This window comes from Homo sapiens, chromosome 13 (genome assembly GCF_000001405.40).
Source record: "Homo sapiens chromosome 13, GRCh38.p14 Primary Assembly".
NCBI classification, from domain to species: Eukaryota; Metazoa; Chordata; class Mammalia; order Primates; family Hominidae; genus Homo; species Homo sapiens.
The window spans coordinates 74,172,097-74,197,261 of record NC_000013.11 but is presented as its reverse complement, the minus strand read 5'-3'; the positions used below and the strand labels follow the sequence as shown (position 1 = coordinate 74,197,261).

Below are 25,165 nucleotides of genomic sequence, written 5' to 3'. Positions count from 1 at the left end.
TTCAAAATAACCATCAAAAGAAACTAGAAAATCAAGACAGTGTTTGTATGTTTTCTTATCAATTATTTATTATAACCATATGAATAATTCTAGTTATTATTTTTATTTCAATAAATATTATGTACTGGAAAGTTGCTGTAAAAAATAAATTCTGAGTTGTCTGAGATCTTATCTCTTTAAGGCTTATACCTGAACACAGGTCAAATTCATCTCAGTATCTGAAATTTTTGCTCAGAGCCTGTAATATTGAAGAAATCAAATAAATGCTCCCCAAATTAATTATTGGGAGTAAAATCTTACCTTTCCCAGACTTCTATTGGGTTCACTGTCCCTCCATGCATGCACATTTTAAATTAAACTAACTTAATAAAAAAGATGTAGAAACATAAATTTTTTTTAAATTCTAAACAAATATTACTATATATCCTACAGTATCTTTTAAAAATCCATTCTCAGGGCACCAGAGTCCAGAAAGAAAAGAGAGGGCACATTCACATTGTATAACTTGAAGAGAATTTTTTAAAAGGATTACTTCTGAGGGTGTCAACAGAATGTAGGAAAACTACAAAAGGTACCACTGGGCTGGTTAAAGGGGGCACTGTGACCATGCTCAGGCTAACGAAGCCAGTGGAGCAGAAACTCATGATGCAGAAAGCTTAGATGGAGAATATTTAATGAAACCTACCATCCTCAGATGACTCTACCAAAAGATGGTAGAACACAGATGTACATTTCCATTAAAAATGCAAGCAGCATTTTAAATGACATAGAGTTGAATCCATCTTCTTTCCCACTACTTGCTCTTATCTCTTTCTTGACAGTATCTGTGACTTTGGGTCAAGGGTTGCAGCACACCCAAAATGTTCTCCCCCACCTGCAAGAAAAGGGCCTGGGCAATAAATAATCTGTCTTCTCTCTCCCTCCTCCTTCTGATCTCCTGCTGGTGCTCCCCATTGACCAACTCAACCAGAAGTCAGAGGAAGCCTGCTTGGGTAGATCAGAGTCCTAATTTCCAGAGCAGGGTGGTGAGAGTGGTAAGTGAAGTTAGAGAAAAAACACAAGATATCCAACATACCAAATATGCTGTCTTGCAATGCATGCTCTAAGAGGACACATGGTTGTTGTATGTGTGCTCTCTAAATAAATAAATAAAATGAAACATTTTGCACTTGGTAAGTGCTTTAAAAACATAAAAGAGCTAATGAAAGGCTATATGCATGCATATCAAGAGTAACATAATTTGTCTTATTTTCTTTTCATAATACCTTGTAACCACAGTAAATACATTTTTTGAGTTTTTCTTTTGTGCCATTATCATGAATTCTTGGATTGTAATGAATGTCACGTGTGTGGCCATCAGCCATAAAAAAAATTCAACTGCCAGGTGCGGTAGCTCACACCTGTAATCCCAGCAGTTTGGGAGGCCAAGGCGAGCTGATTATTTGAGGTCAGGAGTTCGAGACCAGCCTGGCCATCTCTCCTAAAAAACACAAAAATTAGCTAGGCATAGTGGTGTGTGCCTATAATCCCAACTATTCGGGAGGCTGAGGCAGGAGAATCACTTGAACCCAGGAGGTGGAGGTTGCAGTGAGCCGAGATCACACCACTGCACTCCAGCCTGGGCAACAGAGTGAGAACCCATCTCAAAACAAACAAACAAACAAAAAACCTTAATTAAATGTATGGAATTTCCCTGTTTGTGAGTCTTGCCTCTCAAGGTAGGAACCAAGACTGCTTCCCAATCTCAGACATGAAGCCTACCTCCCAACCTTAACAGAGAGACTTCACAGCATGAGGACCCCTTTCCCTGGCAGGCTTGTGAAACATGGCACAGGACCCTGTCATTCTAGGATTCATAGCAGTAGGTGTCCCTTGCTCAGCCCTTCAGTGTGGACTTGCAGTTCGCACGCCCAGCAAGAATGTGATTTCAATATTTTCCTGGCTGTGAGGCCTCTGTGTCTGATTTTTTGGCCCTCTCAAAGATTGTATAAACCATCTTTAATAACTTTCTTTTCCACTAAAAGTAGTTAAATTAAATTCTGCTGTCTGTAAGTTTCTTTTAGTGAATGGTGATACACATTTTAAATGACATTTTAATTTAATCTTATGAGATATTCCTGCCAATAAAAAAACTGGAGCTTGGAAAAGTGAAGATTAGACACCTTGTAGCTGGCCAAAGGACCAACCACAGAGAGCTTTCTGGTGCCAAAGCTCCTGTTCAGTCTGCTTTCCGCGATGCCTTTTCACCCCATCTGCTAAGCTAATTCACCTAAGAAGTCAAAACAAACTCTTCAAAGGAAGTGAGTCCTGAAAGAGTTGCTCTAGAGAAAGCTGAGGCAAAAAGATAATTATGAGTTGAACAGATTTATAGATACAACTGCATCTACATAAAAGGAATTTTTAAAATCTGGTTTGTTTTCAGCATAAGCAGAAAAAGTGCTATGATTCAATCTTTGAAATATGGGAGTGACATCTATCTCAAACCAAACACATCAGAATGCATTTCTTTTGTTTTTTTCCTATCACTAAGCATCTTTAAACATGAAATTCCTATGTCATCTAGGCCCCCTCTTGGCCCTTAAAACACAACATATATTTGGTTTCTTCTATAGTTTAGGTATTTGCCAAAGTGTTAGTATTAGGAGATGGAACCTTTAAGAGGCAATTAGGTCATGAGGTCTCTTCCCCCTTGTGAGTGGGATTAGGTGTCTTTATGAAAGGGTTTGAAGAAGGGAGTTCTTCTAGCTTGTCCTCCCTCCTGCCCTATGAGGACTCAGTGTTCCTCCCCTTCTAAGGATGCAACCCTTACCAGATAACCAAACCTGCTGGCACATTGATCTTGGACTTCCAAGCCTTCACGACTGTGAGAAAATAAATATCTCTTTTTTATAAATTACCCAGTCTCAGGTATTTTGTTACAGCAGCGCAAACAGACTAAGACAGTGTCCATTAATTCCTAGAGAAGCAGTTGAGAAATTCTTCAATAACATTTCTGCTCTGTGTGCTATATTCTGGTTCCAGAACTCATGCATGCTCTGCTGCACCCTTTTCACCACCACCACCCCAGAAAACAACTTGATTGGAGATTTGTGGGCACAGAGAAGTGTTATATATCATGCACCTGTCTCACATCTTGTCTTTTCTTTCCTTGTTCTCCCTTCTCCCATTCTTCCTTCCAAGGGTGCCTGCAGTTCTCCCAATTATGTTCCCTTTAGGAAAAAAGAAAATGAAATCTTTCCCTTACAACAAATATATATCCAAACCCATCAAAATGTTCAGCAAAACAAAAGATCACCATCCACTTAGAAAACTATTGTCTTCAGAAGGCTTTAACAAAGGCAGAGGAACCAAGCTAAAGAACATAAATATACATTTCTGTTACAAATACTAGTAGCATAGGGACACGTTAGCAATCATCAGAACTTTCTTCCTAACAGAAAGTGCCAGAAGAAAGGAAGAGATCAGACATCGTGAAGGTATGTGGGGCAGAGAGGAAGTTGCTGAGAGTTAGGCTTATAATGTTGGTTTCTTCCATATTTTTTGACTTTTTAGATTGAATTTTATTTAGTCTAAGCAGGAAGTCTTTGATTGTATTATTTAAACTGTGCATAGTGTTCTTGCTGCATGTGGAAAGTAGATGAAGGCTTGGAGGAAATTGGAACAAAAGGTGGGAAATGATCCTTGTTGACTTAAACACACAGAATCTCAGGCTATGAGTAACTTTGGCAGTAACCAGTTTGCATAGCATAGGAATGGAAGTGTGGGCTGTAGAGTCAAATAAACCTGGGTTTGAATCCTGGCTGTACCATTTATTTATGGTATGATTGTCGGCTAGTGCCTGGAACTCATTGGTTCTCATTTGTAAAGAAAGGGTAATAATAGTTTCTACCTCATAGGTATGTCTGTTGATTAAAGTAGGTGACATATAGAGACCACTTAGCCCAGTGGTTTTCTTCCACATCTTTAAAAAGAAAATTTCCTTGGCTGGGCACTGTGGCTCACACCTGTAATCCCAGCACTTTGGGAGGCCCAGGAAGGTGGATCACTTGAGGTCAGGAGTTCGAGACCAGCCTGGCCAATATGGCAAAAACCCTGTCTCTACTAAAAACACAAAAATTAGCTGGGCGTGGTAGCAGGCACCTGTAATCCCAACTACTCGGGAGGCTGAGGCAGGAGAATTTCTTGAACCCGGGAACCGCAGGTTGCAGTGAGCCGAGATCACACCACTGCACTCCAGCCTGGGTGACAGAGTGAAACTCTGTCTCAAAAAAAAAAAAAAAAACAGAAAAAGTTCCTTAAAAGAAAGAGCTTTCAATCTGATTCTAAGGATACCTGTGTATGCTGTCTCTGGGTCTCTAGTAATAATTTGAGAGGTAGCAGCAAATAGTGTGATAGTGGGGAAAGGTGAATAAACACTAAGCCAGCATAATTCATTTTCTTGGAAAATCTGTGCATTCTAAGAATTTAAAAAATTATTTGGAGAAGTCCACAGATTTTACTAGACTGTCCAAAGTGTCCATAGCATGAAAATAATTTCTACTTGTGCCTCCTCTTTAATGTAAGACATCCAAGTGTAGATCATAGCTCTGCCATTGAATTGGCAACCTTTACTCATTTTACAAAATATGTGTGTCAAACTATTGAAATATAAACTAACGAAACTGATTTCTCATGCCACATGCAAAAACCCGTTTCATTACCTTGTAATCACATCTCACACTATGTGAAACCAAAGCATAATAAATATGCATAAATCATATTACAGAGCCTCTACACCTTACACATTCATGATATCTTTCTAACAGATCTAATGGGTATTTGTAAATCTCAGGAAAGTAATTTTTAAATGTAAAACCAAGGACTGTAGTCGTATCTGAAAGGGAAGATCAGGTATCCTAGACTAGTTCAAATTGCTAGTTCTACTTTAAGACTTTAACAAACTGTGGCTTTTTATACTCAATATAGTTTGCAAAAGGAATTGAACTGGAATAACTAGTTAGAGATAGTATTTTTTAACATAAACTAACAGACTGCTTGGGTTGCTTATATTTTAGATCTAGTATTAGTAAGTTGTTACTATTTTCCATTTTTTTTTAAGTTAATAGTCAAGGCACTCCTCTTGATTGGTTCTTCTGCTCTCTGGGAAAGCACACATTTCTCAAAGAGCTCATCAGTTTGCTGCCTTTTGTTTACAAGGCCTAGTTACAATAAGTTTGAATGTGACTGTTGAGGTATGAGCCATAAACCTAAAAGCCACTGATACCTGGTCAACATAGGTAATTTGAAGTGAAAGGAGAAAATCTCAGTCATTCACAATTTCTCTCAAAAATGGGAATGACTGGAATTTTTAAAAAGGGAATTTAAATCATTCTGTTTTTAAGACAGAGCTAGTGAAGGTAAATATATACGTATATTTACATTTTATATATATATAGACAGAGAGAAATAAAAGGTAAATTTTATAGCTTATATATACCAAATACCTCCCCCTGAATTGGCCTTTCTGATGTTCTAAGAAATTTTGTTTTCAAGGGTGCTAAGGAATGACTCATTTGTGTGAGTCTAAGGCTCTGTACTTTCTAACTTGTCTTCTAAGTAGGCCTGTATGCTAGAGCTGTGCAGCCATGCAACAATGATTTCTTCAGGGAGATGTCAGGAAAAATCCGAGACCATTTACTTCCTTGTCACAAGAGACCTGAAACCCTGGTGCAGAAGCACGCGGCTCTCATTAACCTAGGAGGCAGACATTGAACACTGAGATGCAAGAGGGAAAATGAGCTCCTTCTAGGATTACATCAGAATGCATTGATGCTAGTTGGTTAAATATAAGTGAAAGAAAATAAATATAACTCAACAAAATAAAAAGATTTTTCAGGGCTTTGGGCATTTATATTCTTATGATGCTAAGAGTGGTCAAGAAGGAAAATCCTATCTTGTGATAAGGCAACAATAAAGAAACCTCAGATGTGGCTTACCCAGATAGGAAATGATAAATCAGCCACCTGCGTGCCACAGATGCCAAGCTCTTTGAATTTTCCTGCTAATTCAGAAACAGAATATACTGCTTGTCACATGCTTCACATAAAATCCTTTGAAAGGGGAATTCATTAGAGAGAGAGTTCACAATATAATGAAGCAGACATTTATTGCTAAAATGATTGCTGACCTGGCTTTTTAGTTATTTTGGTTCACATTAAGATACTCCTAGCTTCTGGCTTCAAAAGCATATTGAGTGTAAAGCAATGTGTAGCAGTGCCCTATGCTTCCAGAGGTCACTGGCAGAGTAACTGCAGGTCCCAAGAACACATCTGGGAATCCAAACATAAGTGGAAAAAAAGGTCTTTGAACAGAGTGGAAAACAGTTGTCACAAAGCTCAGACACTGTCTTCTGAAGGAGAAGAAAGAGTTGATATGGCCATTGAAACATTGAATCCTAGCTCTCTTAGTGATAAGTTGTCAGTAGCCGGGGTTACTTCCATCAGGAAAATGTAAATAATAATATCTACTTTATAAAGTCTCTATGAAAGTTTAATCAATGATGCATATAAACATCTACCTGAAACATAAGAGACACTTAAATGGTAGCTATTATAATTATTATTTTGAAGACTGTAAGAACATCTTTCATTCCTTCCTTCAAATGATAAAGTATTAATTGAGGAAGCAGATTAGAAACCAAGAGGATATTCACTACATAAAAATTAATAGCTGAAAGAAATTAAGTAGCCAGAAGAACAATCAGGGCATAATGCTCAGAAACCAGTCCCATTCTTGGCAAAGCCTTCGTTCATCACCACCCCTTAAATTATAGCACAGAATTAATGATAACAGTTAAACATCAAAGGAAGATCAGCCTTAGTGTAAGCTGTAGAAGAAGGCAAGGGAAATAAGCAGTATTTTCTTCAATAAATTTTATAAATATTTTTCAATTAAATAAAACCGCTTGCTTCTTCAAGATATAAACTCCAAATTTAAACTCTACTAAGATAGTGTTTTTCACCTATTAGATTTGCAAAGGTCAAAAAGTTTGGTGTGTTGTTGTCACGGAAGCTGAAAGAGACATTTTAATATATTGTCGGTGGGAGTGCATCTTGGTAATTTGATAATATCTGTGAAATTACTAATGTACATACTTTTGACTCAGTAAGTGTACTTCAGTATTGCACACTAAAAATATACTCTCAAGCATGTGAATTGATGTGACAAGGTTACTCTTTGCAGTAATCTTTGCAATAGCAAAATATTAGAAAAATAATATTACTCAATATTGTAGTAGTTAAATAACGTTTTGCATTCAATGGAATACCTTGCACATGTTAAGAAAAAAAAGTGGACATTCTTTAATGTTTCGACTAGTCGAAACATTAAATGTTTTTTAATGTTTAAAGTCATTTTAAACATTTAAGTCATTAAAAAATTTTTTAATGACTTTTTAAATGTTTCAACTAGTCGAAAACAATTTCTGATAACTTGTTAAGATGAAAAAAAGATGTGAAAAGAGTGTATAACATATGTGGATGAATGGATAAAATAAATATGTATATGTTACTTATATATGAGTGAAATATCTCTGGAAAGATACACCAGAAATTAGCAACACTGGTTGAACTGAGGGGTTGGAGAGTGAGGTGAAAGGCAGATCTTCCACGCTTTCATACCTCTTGAATTTTGAACCATGTGACTATATTACCTATTCCGAAAGCAAAACAATCTTCCTCTTCCCACAGTTAGCAGAGGGAACAAGGCCTAGAAATGGAAGACTGATCATGGGGGCTGTTGAATGGGGGCAGTCCCTCATACAAAGTCCAATACACGAGTTAAGCTCGGTGCCATCTACGGAAAGGGAAGCATCCCTGTGGCCTCGCTGCAAATGAGGAAGAACGTGTACCAGATATAGACGTTCTTTGGGAAGGAAAGCTATTGATCTACAATGTGTTTTTCTTGTTCTGTTGTCTTACAAAACCGAAGAAAAACTGGTTTTTCAGTTTTTCTTATGAGTCTACCATTGTCTATAATTCCTCTATGTACTGCAAATAGATTACGGAAGAAGGTTAGCAAACATTTTTTCCAAAATGTGTTCACTGAAACAATTGTTCCACAAAAAGTTCCACTGGAAAGATAATTCTGTGATCAAATAGGTTTATGAAACTCTGAGTGTCATTTTGCATATTTGCATATTCATGAGGCACAGGAGCACTTCTAAACTTATTTAAGCAGGAAAATCACTTTTTGGGTTTTTGTTTTTCATTTTTTGTTTTTGAGACAGGTTCTTGCTGTCTCAAGAACCCCCAGGCAGGAGTGCAGTGGCTCAATGTCAGCTCACTGCAACCTCCATCTCCCAGGTTCAAGCAATTCTCGTGTCTCCGCCTCCCAAGTAGCTAGGATTACAGGCGCGCACCACCACGCCCAGCTAATTTTTTGCATTTTTAGTAAAGACGGGGTTTCGCCATGTTGGCCAGGCTGGTCTTGAACTCCTGGCCTCAAGTGATCCACCTGCCTCGGCCTTCCAAAGTGCTGAGATTACAGGTGTGAGCCACCACGCCTGGCCCACTCTTTGTTTTTAAGCTGAATACCTATTAACAACCCATGAAAAATAATATTTAAAATGTTAGTTTAGAGGAAGTAGCCCTGTTAACTTTACCATAAATAAATGGTAGAGCCAGGATTCAAACCTGGTATGTTAACTTTACCAGGTCTTACCATCATGTTTTGCCAGGTACAATAATTGAGCCACAATTTAATAAATATATTTCTTAAAAGAAACAATAACATATTTCAATTATATTTTCAACTGAGTAAAGATAAGGGACTTAGAACCGTTGAACTTTCCATCATCAAATTTGACGATCGAATTTGCATATTTTCAGAAAAGTATTATGACATCAAAGGGGTATAATTCTAATTTAAATTTTCTATTGTACAGCCTAGGTGACATAATTTGGGTCTGTTTTATTCACTGGTACATCCTCAACACCTAGAACAGTGTCTGGGTATAGTAGGTAGTCGATAAATATTTATTAGCTTACTAAATTATGGCATGGATAGAATACACTAATTCGGATACTTAATAGTACAAAACTTATCTAAGAATCAGGTACACAAAACACCACAACTATACTAAACCTACTTTTTTTTCTTTTATTTTTATTACTCTAAATAGACTCCCCGGCCTTATAATACCTCAAAGGAAGAGCATGTCCTTTATAATAAGCATGTTCTACATAATAAGAACAAATGTCTTTATTATATAGACATTTTTTAAAAGAAATCATTGTAATTGAGTAAGGCCTGGTCATTGAAAGTCATATGCATTACATTTAGTGAACAATGTTAAATAACTATTTTCTTCCGGCTATGCCCCTATCTGCAGCAACTCTTAGCACCTTGGGGCTGGCCTGGCTTGGGTTTGTCAGTGTCTAAAACCATGAAATGTGTCAGAGTTTGGATCATGTCAAAGTCAGACAGTGTTCAAACAGCTTAGCACATCACTGTCAAATGCCAGAATGAAGGCTTGCTGAGTCATCCTGGTATCCTTCAGGGAGCAGGAAAATGTTATACAACCTCTCTGGCCCCCAGTCATCCCTAGGGCAAATCAAACTTGGGCAAATTAATTAAGTCATACGTTCATTCAGTCATTCATCAAATATTTACTTACTGTCTACTATGTTCCCAATGGAATGCTGGGTATTAAATCACTCTATATAAGCTTCCTAATAACAACAAAAAAATTTAGTGAGTGATTACTATATACCGAGAATTGTACAAGAACTTTACATGATATCTCATTCGACCTCACAGAAACCTTCTGGGATAGCTACTCTGGTTATCCCCGGTTACAAACGAGGACACTTGCCCGTGGCCACACAGCTAGCGAGGAATGGCAAGGTTAGTTAACCACTGAGCCTGCGATTGTTTTTTCTCTTTTTTTTTTTTCTTTTGAGACAGGGTCTCCCTCTGTCACCCAGGCTGGAGTGCAGTGGCATGATCACTGCTCACTGCAGCCCCAATCATCTGGGTTCGAGTGATCGTCTCACCTCTGCCTCCCACTTGGGACTACCAGCACATGCCACCATACCCAGCTAATTCTGGTATTTTTTGTGGAGATGGGGTTTCGCAGTGTTGCCCAGGCTGTTGTCTGCAATCTTAACCACTGAGCAATAATGGACCCTGTCATTCCTAGAAGGAAGCGTATGAATCAGCATTTTTACACAAAGGGAGCTAAAATTTGTTGCACCTTCTATGTGCAGACCCTGTGTTTTATATTTTTGTATGATAGCTCATTTAATAGAATTATAAGATGAAACAGTAGACAACGGGAATTAAGAGCACGAGACTTGTTAGCTAAACTCCAGAGTTAAATCCCACCTCTTGCACATACTGTCTATGTCCTTGAGAAAATGTTTTTTCACCTCCCATGCCTCAGTTTCCTCATCTGTAAAAGGGGAAAGTATATGCAATATAGTGTCAATCAGTTAATTGTATAAACAAAATACCTAGTCATAACTGGCACATAGCAAGCACTACATGGCTTAACTATTTTTTTAAATGTAGGTAAAATGTAGTTTAAAAACACAACAAAAGGAATTTTTTTTCTATCATGGAGGAAAATGGAAGGGTTGGAGGAAAGCTAAAGTCTCACACACCACCTTGGGATGTTACACAGCTGCTATCCTCAGCTTCCAATATCACTGAGATGATGTGTCTCTAAACCTTAGGATACTTTTGGTCTCTATCAAATACACCCTCCAGCATCACCCCTTTGAGAATTTCCAGCCATTTGTACCCAACCTGTCCAAAGTTCCTGGGCTACTGCTTGGTCTTTTGGGGAGGACTCTCACTCAGGCCGTTCTCATGCAATCTATCACCTGAACACTGGACTTTGGTGAGGTCTTCACGGCCTCATATAAACACCCAGGAAGGGCAAGGTGGTTAAGTAAGAAGAATTGAGCCTACTAAATTTTAAGTGAAATACATTACAATTGTAAGCTAAAATGAGAATACACCAGGAAGAGAAGCTGTTGCTAATATCAAAGTATTACAGTTTCTTACATATCTCCTAAGAAAAAAAAATCTCTTAGACAAGATGATCCTTAGGATTGTATTTCTGAGTTATTTGTTGTGTTTTTTTCTGGAAGAGCCTGGCAATTGGTATATGATCATGCATTTAAAGAATACGTTATCATCTGGTGTATATAAAACCCTCAGTACTCTAAAGTATTCCATTAATCATTAGTCATAGCTAATAACATAACAATTCCAGCTCATCACTGTTCTGATTAAAGACTTCCAAGTGACCTACCACAAAGTTAAGAAGTCTTGGCCGGTCGCAGTGGCTGACACCTGTAATCCCCGCACTTTGCAAGGCCGAGGCAGGCAGATCACTTGAGGTCAGGAGTTCAAGACCAGCCTGGCCAACATGGTGAAACCCCGTCTCTATTAAAAATACAAAAGCACAGGTGTGCTGGCACGTGGCTGTAATCCCAGCTACTTGGGAGGCTGAGGCAGGAGAATTGCTTGAACCTGGGAGGTGGAGGTTGCAGTGAGCCGAGATCACACCATTGCACTCCAGCCTGGGTGAAGAAGTGAGACTCTGTCTCAAGAAAATAAAAAATAGAAGTCTTACCAAAGTCATTAATCTGGCCAATGTTGACACCATTCTGTGCTGAAAGTTCCAGGAGTGTTACTTGACCCTGGTCAAGTAACAGAATTCTATTCTGTGCAACAGCCTGAATTTCTTTGGCCCTAAACTACACTAAGCCTGTAGACTCACAATGCATAATAACCTGTCAATGAAGTTGAAACTGCACTCCAAATTATTGATGGAGTTGGAAAAAAATATTGATGACCGACTGAAATAGTTGTTGATGAACGAGTTACCGTATGTGGCAGCCTCACTCCATCCTTAGCCTCCTCTGTTGTTTCAGAGGCCTCTATGATTTCTAAAGTTTATTGCTAAAAATTCCAAGACTGTGTAAGACCATTTGGGGATAGGAGAGAAGGACCTAAATAAGGAATTTTTAAAAATATTATTAATTGAACAGGAAAAAATATTTATTGTGTTATAGTTTATTTCGCAACATAGCTTAAAGAAAATATTGGCATACATATTAACAATTGGGTACCTCAACTCCATCTTGCTGGACCAAGACTAGAATAGGTAAAGATAAACATTACAGAGTAGATAAGTTCCCAGGGAGTAGGGCCATATTCGTCTATACCACCAGTACCTGATTTAAAGAGGCACTTAATGCATAATTTGTATGAGGTAAAGTGTTTGCCTCAAATCACTGTGTAAAAGTCAGTGCCAACCTTGTACTTCAATAGTAAAATGTCCAATCTGCAGAACATTTACTGAAGTAACAAATTATACTTTTAGACAAATGCTGCAACTTTTCTACATAAAACTTTTCTGATTGCAGTTAAATATTTTTTAAATAAAATCAATAAAAATATTTCTCTATATATTTTGGCCTACTGGCTAACAGAATTCTGTTGGTTATTGTATTACTGAGGGTTGTGTGTCTCAGCTCCAGCAAATTGCTGCAACTTTCTGTGAATGCAACCCATATAGCCTACTGTAGATTGCACTGAGCTTGCATACATAATTATAAAGTTTTCCATAATTACGGTTTATCCAAGCATACTTTTGAAGATTTTATAATGGAGAAAATATTTGCTGGAGAAAATTCTCATCAAAACATGATTTGTAAGAATGTTGGTTACACAGTTCTTTCTCAATGCATAATACTGTGTTCCATAAATACATGTTAAAGATTGCTGCATCCTTGGGAGTTGGTCAAGTGGAAACATTATATTCAATTTTTTTTTTCAGTTTGGAAAAACTAAAGCCTTTCCTGGTTTACTATATTGAGTTGGTGACACACATTTCTGGCTCTCACAGAAGTTTGTCATCCCTACAAGTTTGTGAGCTCTAGGCAGACTGAGATTATAACTATATTTTAATTATCTTCTGAAATGATATTTATTAGTGTTTTGGCAGAAAGCTCCTAAAGCATGATATAAGAATATAATCTGTCAGCATTACCACTACAACTATTTTGGTGTTTAAAAACCTTTTATGCTTATAATTTAGTGACTTTCCAAGATCTTTGTACATCTGAGTCACTCAGGGATCATGTGAACTGTAGATTCTGATTCAGGAGGTCTAAGGCTGGGCCTGAGATTCTGTATTTTTATCAAGTTCCCTGATGCTGAGGCTGATGGTCAGTGGATCACACCTTGAACAGCAAGGACGGTATTTATATCTGCCACCATAACTTTATTAGAATACAATATAAATGCTCTTAAAATGTATATATTTTTTGAGACAGGGTCTCTCTCTATCACCCAGGTTGAAGTGCAGTGGTGTGATCTTGGCTGACTGGTAACCTCCGTCCCCCAGGCTCAAGCAATCCTCCCACCACAGCCACCTGAGTAGCTTGGATTACAGGCATGTGCCACCATGCCCAGCTAATTTTTGCATTTTTTTGTAGAGACGGGGTTTCCCTATATTGGCCAGGCTGGTCTCTAACTCCTGGACTCAAGCGATTCACCCACCTTGGCCTCCCAAAGTGCTGGGATTACAGGAGTGAGCTACCTGCACCCAGCTTCTGAGAATCTTTGAGAGTTTTTCTAAATACGCTGTTGGTGGATTTTTTTTTATTTTTACAAAATTATCCTGAAGCAGGGAATTGGTGTATAATTTGGTAGTCATGATTATGTTTTCATAACCAGAAAAAAAAATTCCTTGTGATTTTGGCAAGAACATTAAAGTGTTTTCTGAGTGTTGGTCAAAGGAGATTGATGACGAGTCATATGGCTGATGAAGATGGTAGCATTTGGAAAGGAGAAATATTTTTCTCAGCTCTGTCAGTGATATGAGGGCACCACTGAAGATTAAGAGGTCCAGAGAGAGGGGCTTAGATAGATGCAAATCCCTGACAAGTCATAGCCGAGTCCCGCATTCATGTGGCTTTTGAGCACTTGACCTGGTCATTTGCATTGTGTCTGGTTCCTCTTGTAGAGTACAAACTTTCTGAAGACATGAACCATATGTCATATTCATCTTTGTATCCCCAGCACCAAGCAAAGAGTAGGTACATAGTAGACACTCAATTAATCAATACTATTCAATAAATTCATGTCAAGGAAATATGGCTATGGTAGGCACAAAAGGATAGAGAAACTGAAGTTAAAAGTCCATTGTACACTTGAGGCTTGAGTTAAAAATGGTTTGGTCAGGGGCAGCATTTTCCAAAGTGATTTCCAAGAAATACTAGTCTCACATGATGTTCCTGGAGAAAGAGTTAATGGTCACAGCAGTTTGAGAAATACTGCATTCAGGGTCCCCCATACATGCCCCTAAGGAAGTGTGTCACATGTACTAAAGTGTTATATACCTATTGCTTCATAAAAAAAAAAGGCTAAAGTATTTAACCAAGCATTTCCCAAACTTGTCTGACATTTTCACATTCTTCATACTCCTGCATGTAATGTTGTTAATGTTTTGTGGAAGCAATGCTCTGGTTTCTATAAGGAAATGTATCAATTATTCCAATACGAGAATGCCAAGAACATTTCTCTCCCTATGGATTTCTTAACCAGCAAAAATAGGATTGCTCTTCTTTCTTCTGCACACTGTGTGCAGCAGTTGGAGGGGATTCCTGGGTTCCCTCTGCAGCTGGTGAAGACAGAAGGGCTACTAATCCCAGCCATTTCTCCCTCCACCTCTGCAGAGGTGACAGAAAGGGAAGTAAATCCTGGGACCTCCCCTAGTATACAATGGCCTGAGGCAGACCATCATATATGTGGTGTTTGTAGGCTGTTTGAACTGATTTAAACCTAGTCTTCCAATGCTGCAATCAGTTTGTCCTCTAATTCTCTGATAACCATAGACAGAGAAAATAAAATCACCCTTGGACAAAAGTGACTCTAGCCTTACACGTGTAAATCTCTAAAACAGGCTCTTTGTCAAGGATGCCTAAAGTAGAAACTAATAAAAGAAAATGAAGTTGTTCCCAATTTGTTTATTTTTCTCCTTCCTAACGCAGTGAATTGAGATTATACTTTTCAAATATAGATAAAAGCAGGAAGAATAGTATTAAAAAATTTGCACTCATCACCCAGCTTGAACAATTTTAACACTTATCAATTTATTTTCATTTATACCCTCCCACACTTTTTGTTTGTTTTCTAAACTATTTTAAAACAAACTCCAAACAGTATGCCATTTCAACTGTGAATTTTTTGCTATGTATCTCTAACTGAAAAGACGTATCTATAGCGTACTATATATGTGTGTTAGGCATATATATATGTGCACATACACAAACTCACACACATACCATACCACAAATATTCTATGCCACTATCAAACCTAACAGAATAATTCCTTAATATCATCTAATACCAAATTCATATTCAAAATTCCAAGATTATTTCAAAGATACATATACAGTGTATACAGTCAAATAAAATCAAGATCCAAACAAGGTCCTCATACATTGGGTTGTTATCTCTTATGTCTCATTTTCCTTTTTTTTTTTTTTTGTTTTTTTTTTCAGACAGAATCTCACTCTGCTGTCACCCAGGCTAGAGTGCAGTGGTGCGATCTTGGCTCACTGCAACCTCTGCCTCCTGGGTTCAAGCGATTTTCCTGCCTCAGCCTCCCAAGTAGCTGAGACTACAGGCATGCTCCACCATGCCTGGCTAATTTTTTTCTTTTTTTGTTTGTTTGTTTGTTTTAGTAGAGACAGGGTTTCACCCTATTGGCCAGGCTGGTCTCCTCCTGACCTCAAGTGATCCGCCTGCCTCCGCCTCCCAAAGTGTTGGGATTACAGGCGTGAGCCACCACACCCAGCCTCATTCTCAATTTTCTGGCAATTTTTCTTTTTTTTTTTTCACTTTTGTCAATGTTTTCTATTCTTTTTTCTTTTATGCTAAATGTATTTTTAAGGTATTTTTCAGCAGGGTGCAGTGGCTCACGCCTGTAATCCCAACACTTTGGGAAGCCGAAGCGGGTGGATCACGAGGTCAGGAGTTCGAGTCCAGCCTGGCCAGCATGGTGAGACCCCGTCTCTACTAAAAATACAAAAAATTAGCCAGGCATGGTGGCGCATGCCTGTAATCCCAGCTACTCGGGAGGCTGAGGCAGGAGAATTGCTTGAACCTGGGAGAGGGAGGTTGCAGTGAGCCAAGATTGTGCCATTGCACTCCAGCCTGGGCAACAAAGCAAGACTCCGTCAAAAAAAACAAAAGAAAAAGATATTTTCCAGGAATAATTCTAATATAATCAAAGGACCTGAAACAATCAGATTGGTAAATCACCTTTTAAAATTTGAGCAGACTACATACAAAATTAAATGTACTTAATATTTCATCCTTTAGGTTGTGAATGTCATTTATCCTCAGCTATATTTTAATGGGGAAAAAAGCAACTGATTAGCTCAGGAAGCATAATTTCTGATTAATATTTACATTTTAAATTTTTATATTTATAATTTATTATTCCTATAGCTGAGGCAGGAGTCCAAACCTGATCTACTGATTCCCAGGCACAGCAATACCCATTCTCAATAAAATAAGTGAGTCAAAACCTAAGTGTGCTGAGTTGGTACATTCTTCTTAAAGATTTGCCTCTATCCATCAAGATTTCTGAATTGCTGTCAAGTCATTAGAGTTTAGAAGACATCACCCATCTGTGTTTCATCTTACATATGCCATGATTGTGAAGAACCTTATAAAACATAATCTGATGGTTTTCAGAAGCAGAATTTGGCTTTCTTAAGAGTTTTGCTGGTTAGCCAACCCCATTTCAGGAAAGCCAAATGCTAAATAGGTCACTTCATTGGCAAAGACAGTAATTTCTGAGCCTTTATTTAGAAGAAATGAGAAAAGAAAGATAAATTGTGAGGAGAATTAGTAACACAATCTTTCAATGGCAAGTATTTCAATTGATTAACTGTCAGACCAAGCATTTCCCTAAATTCAGCAAACCAACTCAATCTGTCTTTTGAAATCCTTTTTTCAATTTGTTAAGGCTTTTTGTCTAATCAAGAACACTAAACACCTACTATTAGTTCAGGTTTAATTTGCAAGTTAGAATTATTTTCCATAGAGAAACCTATGCATTGCACGATAGCTCCACAGCCCAATTAATCAAAACTCTTAAAACAGCCAAGGAATGTGCCAGAAGGCCTTAAATAGGCACACAAATGATAAGTGAAGACGTCTTTATCATTATCTCCCAGATTTGTTACAAATATGATATTTCTTCATGCTCTGAACTTTAGATAGAGTAGCTCTCCTGTAAGCTATTTCTTCCCAAAATGGGTAAGAAACTTTTTCCTCCTTTTAAGTACAAGTTAATTATGTAATCATTCAAAATTACCAGATGTCGATTGGGGGACTCTTTGGAAAGTACGGGTTGTTGTACATCTGCAATCTCCTTTCTTAGGACATATTAAAGCAATTTAGAGTTAAAATCTCCATCCATTCATAGAAAGAAGAGGGATAAAGCTGTCGGTTTTCTAGCCACCTGGAGTACACTATTCTGCAGTGTTGATTTTGATAAAGCAACCTTAGTTTCATAAGCCACTGAAAAACTAGAATTTAACAAGCTGGCAGAACTGTGGCATCAATATGTCTTAAAATGGAGGTCAGGGAGAAGTTAAATTACTGAGCAAATGGGTAAAAATCTTTTCCCTAACGTATAGCCTAATTTTTCAGTACATCTCCAGGCAAAATTATACAGCTCCCTTCATTTAAATCATTTTATTTCTGCATTTTGCTTAATACTAAAAGGTGGATGGCAAGATGTAACACTGACATTCAAAAAGGCAGTAATATATAAGTAAGAGCATCTTCCTTGATGCAATGCTATTGTCCAAGAAGCAATCATCTCTCCTGCAGGAGAGACACAACCATTCATATTGAACATACACATTAGTCACCTCATGGTTTTATTCATCCCTGCTAATAGGCATATCTCTCAACCTCCATAGCTGTAATGGCTCCTGTCCAAATGGGCTTTCACTACACACAGGAAGCTTTCTTGCTTCTCTCTCTTTTATAACCAAAGGCCTGTGGTCATGAAGTCCAAACCCTTTGGCAGGAGGAGCCTGAGCAGTAGGTCTGATGGTCCAGGCTCGCAGCCTATATTTGGACCATGCACAAAGGAAGGAAAGACCAAAGGCCTAGCGATGTTCACAGCACATGGACATAGTAGACACAATAAATACTTATTGACCACCAGCTGACTGCATATAGTGTCTATAACTCTTTTCTTTTAAGATAAGTTAGAGGTTATATTTTTAAAAGGTAAAAAGAAACTGGATAACTAACTGTAACAGATTATAAATTGTTAGTAAAACTGGGGGTGAGGCAAAAATGGAATTCCAGTATTTCCAGAGGGTTACTAGTGAAAGAAGGTATTGCAAGAAGACTCTGAGGCTGGGGAGGGTCAAATGGAAAAACTCCCCCTGACAAAGGGATGTCCTATGCTCAGTGTCAGCCTATAGATTGGGGTCCATAGAGAAGCAGGCAAATTGTGTCTCCAAGAACTAAGGAGATGAACTAGTCCCTATTCATAAATGAAAAGAAACATGTTTTAGGGAGATTGTCTTTCTTTCATGACATCCTCATTCAATTTCCTGAAATTTAATGTCAACTTAAACCCTCTGTTTTTGAAAGCACCACAAAGAAGCACATGGAACTCCTCTGGTGTTTCTAAGACAGAGATTGTCAAAAGCACTAGGATACAGTATTGATACAGTATTACAGAGTCACCTCTCTTTTCTATAATACTATGGCAGACACTACTAATTGCCTGCTTATATTTGTTCTGACCTTTTTCCCTTGAAGAGAACCATTTTTAAAAGAACCCATTTCTTTTAAGGCAATGAGTGTAAAAAACAAAACAAAACAAACAAACAAACAAAAACCTTGTTTTCTAGTCATTTTTGCGTCAGGGGACAACATGATGAAGCAGTAGCCTAGTGAGTGGAGGTCTTGGGAGCTTGTCAACACCACACAAGGTGGATGGAATCAGTCAGCGTACATCCTTTGCCCTTCAGGCCTCCCCTTTGTCCTTTGTGGAATATGCACCCCACACTGGCTGATGACCATAAGGCAAAAGCATACATTTAAAAACTGGCAGAACTGAAAACTAAAAGGAACTGACTCCTTGGTGACACCGTAGAATGCTATACCAGCCACGGACCACCTGACTCCAGATTTTTGTATGTGAGAAAATGCAACCCCTAATGCATTTAAGACTAGACCTGAGCGGTTTCTGTTGCTCACAGTCAAACACAATGCTCAAGTGTATTGCATTTATTACTGTAATGTATTATATATATTAGCTTCTTAACATTTGGTGATGTAAAATCCTCTGGAGTAGGAATTCTTATTAAAAGACCAAAATGAATTACCTAGCATCAAAAGTTTTTCATAGTTTGAATTTTTCTCTCCCACTTAAACCACAAATCCACTGCTTCCCTCCTGCAAGTCTGTCTGGCCTCTCTTCTCCATCGGCACCACTGTGGCCTTCCCTCACCTGAACTCGTACAAAGGCTTCTGATTATTCTTTTTACTTTCAGGCTTCTTCATTAATTTACTGTCACCAGTGATCTTCCCAAAATATAAATATGATCATGTCATTTCTTATTAAAATAATAAAGTGACTTCCCATAACTTATAAGTAAAACTAAAAGCCTTAAATTTCATGTAAGGTTTTTCAGAACCTTGCAATATGGTAACTTTCTGGCCTCATTTTACCACCTTCCATCACCGTCGTCCTCCAGGCTCCCTATTTTCAAGTTCACTGAACTGCTTGCTAGGTAATATATATAAAGTGCTTTACGCAGGGCTGGCAAAAATAGGCACTTATAAAATGTGGCTTGCCTTCCTCAGCCCTTCTCCAAACATACCATACACTTTCACACCTTCTGAATTTACATATAATTTTGCCTAAAATTTCTTGTTCACCTTCCCTCTCAGAAGACCTTCTATTCAGAGTTCAAGACTCAGCTTCAATGCTCTGGGCTCTATGTGTCTCTGATGATGTAAAGTCAATTTTCATGTTTTGTACCTTCCTTCCCTATCGTAGAACAGAAAAGTTACTAAAAATGTATTCATAATTACACTTAATTTACTTCAGATAAATTAGGTTTCCGGTAGCTGACCATTAATAATAATGCACTGTTAGAGAAGATCAAGGAAGATTCTTTAGAACTGGCCATAGTGGGAAACAACTGTGGCAGATTCCCAGTAACTCAAAGAAAGTTAAAATATTCATTTCTACAATGGTGAGAGGCAAGGGTAATATCCAATGCAGCAAGTGTAATTAATTTAATTAATTCAATATTTATTAAGCACCTAACATATGGACCTAGGTAGAGTTGCTCACAAAGCAGACAGATTGATATAAAGCAGAGGTTTTCTGGGGCAGTTGGGAGAGAGAAAAAAGTGTAAGTGAAATGAGGCAAGAAAGTTGACGGTATAAATAAGAATATGAGTTAGCAGGTCCTTGAGTTCAGATTGGACAAGGAAGGAAATGAAAATCCAAAGAGGCTAACAAAATTGAGAGAAAATCGAGATTCAGCACCTGAATGTCTCAATGCAGACAAAAAATCAGTGCAGTGGATATAATGAGGGAAAATACTAGAACAGGAGCTCATGATGAGGAAATGGTAAGTCTGAGCTGAAGGTTTCAGTGCCAAAGCAATCCCTGGGGAAGAAAACACCCACTGAACGATCATGGGTATGGAGTGGGGTGAGGGTTATAAGTTATTGGAGGTGAGGAAGACAGGGCACCATGAGGCTAGAATGTTGCGCATTTGCCAAAGTTAGACAGAGAAGTCTTCCGGGATAATGTCTAGACCTGGGGTAAAGAGAAAGAATGTCAGTCAAATGAAAAATTTTATGTATTTGTAGAAAATTGTCTGTTGGGAAGCACAGAGGGTAGTAGAGTTGTAGAGTTCAACTCTCACAGGGCAAGGAGTATTTATACAATGATGGAGGAACAATGTTTTGGAACTAGCACTGGGGATTCTCTCCCCCTCCATATCACTCACACACATGCACCAACACAATGCTGATAAGGAGGAATAATAAGTTAGGTTGAAATGGCTAAGGGAAATTGTATGCTTGGGAGAAAACCAGGTTTAAATCAATTTCAAGAAGTTGTAATGAGTCCTCTGTGAAGATGATTAAGATGATGGAATTTTTGTTCATCATGAAGTGGAATTTCTTGGAAATATAAAATATTGCAAGAGAATTGAATAGTAGGAGGCTGCCCAGGGGAGAGGAAACACAGAAAATCCTTGGCATAAAAATATGGAAAGAATAGATAGCCCAAGGAGTTCCTTTTTGGCAAGGATGATGTGTTATGAGGCACCCTGGAATTAGCTGGCATCAAGGTTTTAAGGAACCACTGGGACAAGTGCTTTGAAGCCTGGCTCAGGCTGAGCCACAAGTATCAGGACAGCTAATGTTAGCCCTCTGGTGCCTTTGCTCCACATTCATATGTAAACTTTGTTAAGAAGTTGTCTTGGTGTCTCTCATAAAATTCCAACCCAGGTAGATTGGAATTACAATTACATAGTCTCCAGATATGCACCTCCCAGTGGAAAACTCTTAATGATGGCTCAAGCTTTTGAAGAAATATATTGGGCCCTGGATTGGGTCTCATCTCAGGGATGCCCCTGGAAGCATCAGAGGTGAGATTCAGGAAAAAGAGACTCTCCTTTTCAAAGGCATGAAAAGCTCAGAATATCAACTTATTGTTGAGTCTGACCCATGGGAAGCACAAGATATTGTTGAATGAACTGATATGGATTGTAAGTTTTACCTCTCTATTAGAAAATAGAAGTTTGGATAGTACATTTCCAAATTGCTGAAAAGGACAGTGGGACATACATGTCATTCTTTCTGGCTTCCCTACATCTGAGCCACTTTCTAACTGAGGGAGTTCCCATTTTATAAGTTAGAGTTAGAAACAAATGCCATATCCTCATTTTTGCAGCCTCCCTTGGGGGTCAGTAGTATGTTCAAGACCTAGGCTCAGCCAACAGGATGCAACTTTGCAGAATTTATATTGGGATCTGAATGTGCAATGGTAAAAAAAATTTATTTTTGTGGCAGGGGCTATGGAAGCAAGATTAATTTCCCAAAGCAGTACTGGTGGCAGTGACAGTAGCAGCACCCGGGGCTCCATGCTTGTGGCATCTGCAGTGTGAGTTGTAGGGTGCTGTGGTTAGTGGCAGTGGAAGCTGTGTTCTCACCCAGCCAGTTCTGCAAGTGATTTGTGCCATTGTTACTGACCACATATCCTCTGATCGTGGTTTTTCATCTCATATGATTTATATCCAATATCCTTTTAGTAAATTCAATTTCTCCTTAAATCAAATAGATTTGGTTCCTTATTCTAGCAACTAAAAACCCTACTGATGCAGATGTTTGAACCAGAAGTGAGATGCTGAAAGTAACAAACTAAAATGAGCAAATGCGTAAATGGAAGAGGTGCTGTAGAAAGCACTGAGAGACGTGGCTGGAAAGTTGTGACTTTTTTGAGGTTATAAAGCAATCAGTTAAACCATCTGTTGCTCTTGAACACAGACCATGGGCCTAGGGAGACATCGGGCTTAGGGGCAGTGGCAGGAACATCAGTGAATGCCTTTCAGTGGGTTCCATGGGGAAAGTAAGTTAAGACTAAGGCTGTACCAGCCAGGCATGGTGGCTCACGCCTGTAATCCCAGCACTTTGGGAGGCCGAGGTGGGCAGATCATGAGGTCGGAGATGGAGACCATCCTGGCTAACACCGTGAAACCCCGTCTCTACTAAAAATACAAAAATTAGCCCGAGTTCGCGCCACTGCACTCCAGCCTGGGCAACAGAGCGAGACTCCATCTCAAAAAAAAAAAAAAAGAAAAGAAAGAAAGAAAAAAAAAGGACTAAGACTGTACCATCTTAAAGAGGGAAGCAAGAAATTTAGCAGCAGCAGATAAATTTGAGCCAATAGACAAGCCTAATCTTCCAGACATGTCCTAAACAATTTTTATAAAGTCATTTCTGCCTGACAAAGATGGCAAAGATTGGATTATGGGTATTGCCTTCCCACCTGAGGTTATTGTTTTAAATTGACTCAGGGCAGAGGTCATTAATCTGAGGTCTAGGAGGACCGGCATCATGTAGAAGTCCCTGGAATGGAGTCAGGAATTCTCAGACTCACAGTCTATTTCTAGAAAAGATCGTTGGCTGTGTTATTAGCCCATGGAATTGACTGGAAGCACCTGAAGCCTATTGAGTTCGTACAGGAATTGTATTACCAAGGAAAGGCCAAGGTTAATAAACAATGGCCTATGATCTCTCAGACAGTAAGGCAATTCCCTGAGCTCCTAAACTCCCACCAACTGGATATAAAATACTAAAGCTATATAACCCCAGAAAGGGCATTTTCCCCAATACTCATCTTCAGTATTGCCATAAAGGAGAATTATATTGGTCTGGATAAGGTAACTGCCATAACAAAAAGACCAAATCTTTAAATGTCTCAAACCCCAACAGGAATTTATTTCTTATTCATGTAACAGAACTGAGCAAGTGAAAAGGTGGGTGGTGCAGGCTTCATCCATCTGGTAATGCAGGGATCCAGGCTGAAAGAAGTTGTTGTACTACATTCAACACACATATTTTAAGTTTATCAGCTATCTCCACTGCCTTGAGGTGGAAAGGGGAAAAACAACAGCACATAAGCACACAGGCTGGTGGTTTTAGGAGCCCAGCCTACAAGTGATGCATGGCACTTCCACTAATATTCTATAAGATAGAATTCAGTCTAGATGGCTACAACTAAATGCAAGAAGGGCTGGGAAAGGTGGCCCAGCTGCATGCCCAAAAGAAGGAAGAAAGAAGCTTCGGAGAGAAGTTAGCCATTTCTACAACAACCAAGAAAAGAAAAACTATTCCTGAGACTAGAACTGGAGCTGTACAAATGAGTGAAAAGGTTCCTTTCTCCACTGGCATGGTAGGAAGTCCTTGCTGCTCTCAAGAACTTAAGTGCTATGGACCAGTGATGATTGTCAATCATTTCCAGTTGTCTCCTTCTCAGAATTGGAGTTGATTTGGGAGTGAGGGAAGCTTAGGGGAAGCATTTATTCTATTTTTATTGGATATGCTAGTAATAAAAACTTGTTTCTAAGCTATGTGTTCACACACCATGATGGAAAAAGTCAAAATTAAAAGCCCCAGAATCTCAGAATGGGTATTGTCTGATGAGACTGTGGGTTCCTTCAGAGAGGTACGGGCGTATTTCATGTAGACGTGGGCACTTTTTCCAAGTACAAATAGGACGAAGGGTATATATTTAGATGTTGATCAGAAAAAGGGTGGACCTGAGGCAGGTATTTTTTATTGCCACCCCAACATCAATTACTCTGCTTCCTCCATTTGGGCAGAATTAAAATTTTATTCAGGTCGCCCATGCTCTTCTTGACTTTATTTAGTCAACCCGGGCCATCTCATTCCAATTGCCTGTGGTATGGGGAAAGGCACGTGATGCATTCTGGCCAATGAAACACAAAGGGAAATCTGTGGGATGGCTTCAGATAAAGGTTTCACTACTCATCAAAAAGACTCATGGAGAGAAAGAGATCTTTTTTCCATTTGATCTTATTGTGAAAGCATAAGATATCTGGAACTGTGCCAACACTGTATGACCATGAAGGCAGATGGACTGTGGTGAAGTCTACAGGGGCGTTAACAGCCAAAAGATGGGGCAAACTTCAGCTACAATTATATCATTAAGCCATGACATCAATTGGCATTGGAGCCACTCTGATAAGAGTCTCCAAACTTCTTATTATATAGAATAATATATTTTTATTAGTGTTTAAGATCTTTCTGTTACTTTTATCTGAAAGCCTCTTTCCCAATAAAGGGTTTTTTTGTGCTATTCAATCCATATATTCCATATCACACATGGAAAACCTACAGTTTAGTGCCTTTTTACAGAAAATACCTTGTTGATATCTGATAAATGTACACTATCTTTTGTAGATGAAGACAGCACTGGGAACACATGTCAGTAGAGTGTGTGTGTGTGTGTGTGTGTGTGTGTGTCGTGAGGAAAATAAATTTGGATTGATCCATCTACATTGTCTCAACC

General features: G+C 38.6%; 1 protein-coding gene across 2 annotated transcripts in view, besides 2 other annotated features; it reads left to right on the top strand.

Moving 5' to 3' along the window:
- KLF12 (KLF transcription factor 12) overlaps nucleotides 1–25,165 on the top strand; it is a 619,957-nt gene that overhangs the window by 108,784 nt on the left and 486,008 nt on the right. The gene's annotated exons all lie outside the window — the stretch shown is intronic.
- Nucleotides 9,336–9,630: an enhancer, noted in NCBI's record as "tiled region #11269; HepG2 Activating DNase matched - State 9:DNaseU". NCBI's record gives its function as "activates a minimal TATA promoter and a strong SV40 promoter by Sharpr-MPRA in HepG2 cells {active_cell/tissue: HepG2}" and the evidence as "EXISTENCE:reporter gene assay evidence [ECO:0000049][PMID:27701403]".
- Nucleotides 21,246–21,747: an enhancer, noted in NCBI's record as "NANOG hESC enhancer chr13:74749652-74750153 (GRCh37/hg19 assembly coordinates)". NCBI's record gives its function as "activates a minimal SCP1, AML or CMV promoter by ChIP-STARR-seq in naive H9 embryonic stem cells {active_cell/tissue: H9 hESC(naive)}" and the evidence as "EXISTENCE:reporter gene assay evidence [ECO:0000049][PMID:30033119]".